This window comes from Homo sapiens, chromosome 15 (genome assembly GCF_000001405.40).
Source record: "Homo sapiens chromosome 15, GRCh38.p14 Primary Assembly".
Lineage (NCBI taxonomy): Eukaryota > Metazoa > Chordata > Mammalia > Primates > Hominidae > Homo > Homo sapiens.
This window is the reverse complement of record NC_000015.10, coordinates 78,898,140-78,900,523: the sequence shown is the minus strand read 5'-3', so window position 1 is coordinate 78,900,523 and position 2,384 is coordinate 78,898,140. Positions and strand designations below refer to the sequence as shown.

Here is a 2,384-nt window from a genome sequence, read left to right as displayed (position 1 = left end):
GCTGAGATAGGTGGATCAGTTGAGGTCAGGAGTTCGAGGCCAGCCTGACGACCACGGAGAAACCCCATCTCTACTAAAAAAATACAAAAACTAGCTGGGTGCGGTGGCTCATACCTGTAGTCCCAGCTACTCGGGAGGCTGAGGCAGGAGAATTGCTTCAACTTGGGAGGCGGAGGTTGCAGTGAGCCGAGATCGCGCCACTGCACTCCAGCATGGGCAACAGTGCAAGACTGTCTCAAAAAATAAAAAATAAAGAAAAAACCGTATTAAAACCTAACGGTACTAATATTAATATTCATCTAATTTCATGTTTTGGTAAGTAATTATTAATCAGTATGATTTTGATTACATCATTCCAGCTACTTACTACTAATATGTAAGATATTCTGGAGCGACATTAAAATTACTAGTAAATGAAAACATATTCAAAATACTCTGTAGATTTAATGTCCAAAGATTACTGCCTCTTTTAGTGTCATCAGGTAAACCTATCAATGTTCTTTTCTAATGCTATATTTAAATGGAGGGAGGAGGCTTAATGAATAACGAACAAAATCTTGACTTTCAGGTTTTGTGAAGGAATGTTTAAATTTCTGAATACAGAACCCTAAGACTGTTACAACCCTCAGGACACAAATATCTATAGCGGCAGTTCTCAACGAGTGGTCCAGAGATCTCTGCAGTACCTGAGATATTTTCATGCTGCCTATGAGGTTAAAGCTATTTTAAATCAGTCTTTTTCTCGAGTGTACATGAAATTTTCCTGAGGTTACATGATGTGTGACGGTATCATTCTGATGACTAATGAAGACACGTATTTTTAAGTTTTAAAGTTTTAATTTCTAGCACAGTAAATATTGATAATATAAACGAAAAGATCGAGTCCTCAACTTTTTTTTAGGAGACAGGGTCTCGCTCTGTCACCCAGGCTGGAACACAATGGTACAATCACAGCTCACTGCAGCCTTGATATCTTGGGGTCAGGTGATTCTCCTGCCTCAGCCTCTCAGGTAGCTGGGACCATGGGCACACGCCACCATGCCAGGCTACTCATAAAATTATTTGTAGAAGCCGGGTGCAGTGGCTCATGCCTGTAATCCCAGCACTTTGGGAGGCCGAAGCAGGCAGATCACGAGGTCAGGAGATCGAGACCATTCTAGCTAACGTGGCGAAACCCCATCTCTACTAAAAATACAAACAATTAGCCAGGCATGGTGGCGGGTGCCTGTAGTCCCAGCTACTCGGGAGGCTGAGTCTGGAGAATGGCATGAACCCAGGACGCGGAGCTTGCAGTGAGCCGAGATCACACCACTGCACTCCAGCCTGGATGACAGAGAGAGACTCTGCCTCAAAAAAAAAAAAAAAAATTATTTGTAGAGACAAGGTCTCTTCCCTACGTTACCCACGCTACTTTCAAACTCCTGGGCTCAAGTAATCCTCCCACCTCAGCCCCAAAGTGCTGAGATTACAGATTACAGGTGTGAGCCACCACGCTCGGCAAGAAAATCTTTAAATACCTAACCAGTAACACTAATGTTCAAGGGACCATGAGTACACATTAAAAAAAAAAATCACATCTAGGGCTCATTTTGTTAGCAAAAATATTAAAAATTCAAACAATCAAGATTAGCATGGCCCCTGTGCCAAGAATGACACGTAAATTCTTGAAGTGTTTCATTTTTTAAGTCACATCTAGATAAACAAGAACTTTCAACAGCTGAAAGACCCCAGGCAACAACAATCCCTATTTGTTAGAAATCCAACTAAATCAGTACAGTTGTGACAAAAAGGGTAAAGAAAAAGAGAACAAGTAAGCCGAATGAAGGAGGCGGCAGGAAGACAACTATGGGTAGAAGCAGTTCCCTTCAAACAACCCAAGCAAATCCTGCTTCTTTGGAACTTACTCCTATTTCCCTCCTGCACTCATTATCCCTCTTGTATTGCTGCTGTAACTCTCGCCATCTGAACTTATCTGCTGCTTTGCATTTTAATTGTTTTCTGAGGGTTTTTTTTTTTTTTTTTTTGAGACAGAGTTTCACTCTTGTTGCCCAGGCTGGAGTGCAATGGCACAATCTTGGCTCACTGCAACCTCTGCCTCCTGAGTTCAAGCAATTCTCCTGCCTCAGCCTCGTGAGTCGCTGGGATTACAGGCGTGCGCCACAACGCCCAGCTAATATTTGTATTTTTAGTAGAGATGGGGTTTCTCCATGTTCATCAGGCTGGTGTCGAACTCCTGACCTCAGGTGATCCGCCCGCCTCAGCCTCCCAAAGTGCTGGGATTACAAGCGTGAGCCACTGCACCCAGACGCATTTTAATTCTTAACGTCTGCCATCCTCTACCCAAGTACAGACCACTTTAGTGTCCCTATCAAAGGGGAGAAACG

The 2,384-nt window shown here is 43.2% G+C and overlaps 1 pseudogene; it reads left to right on the top strand.

The window, feature by feature from the left end:
* On the top strand, positions 1,588-1,684 carry RNU6-415P (RNA, U6 small nuclear 415, pseudogene; annotated as a pseudogene).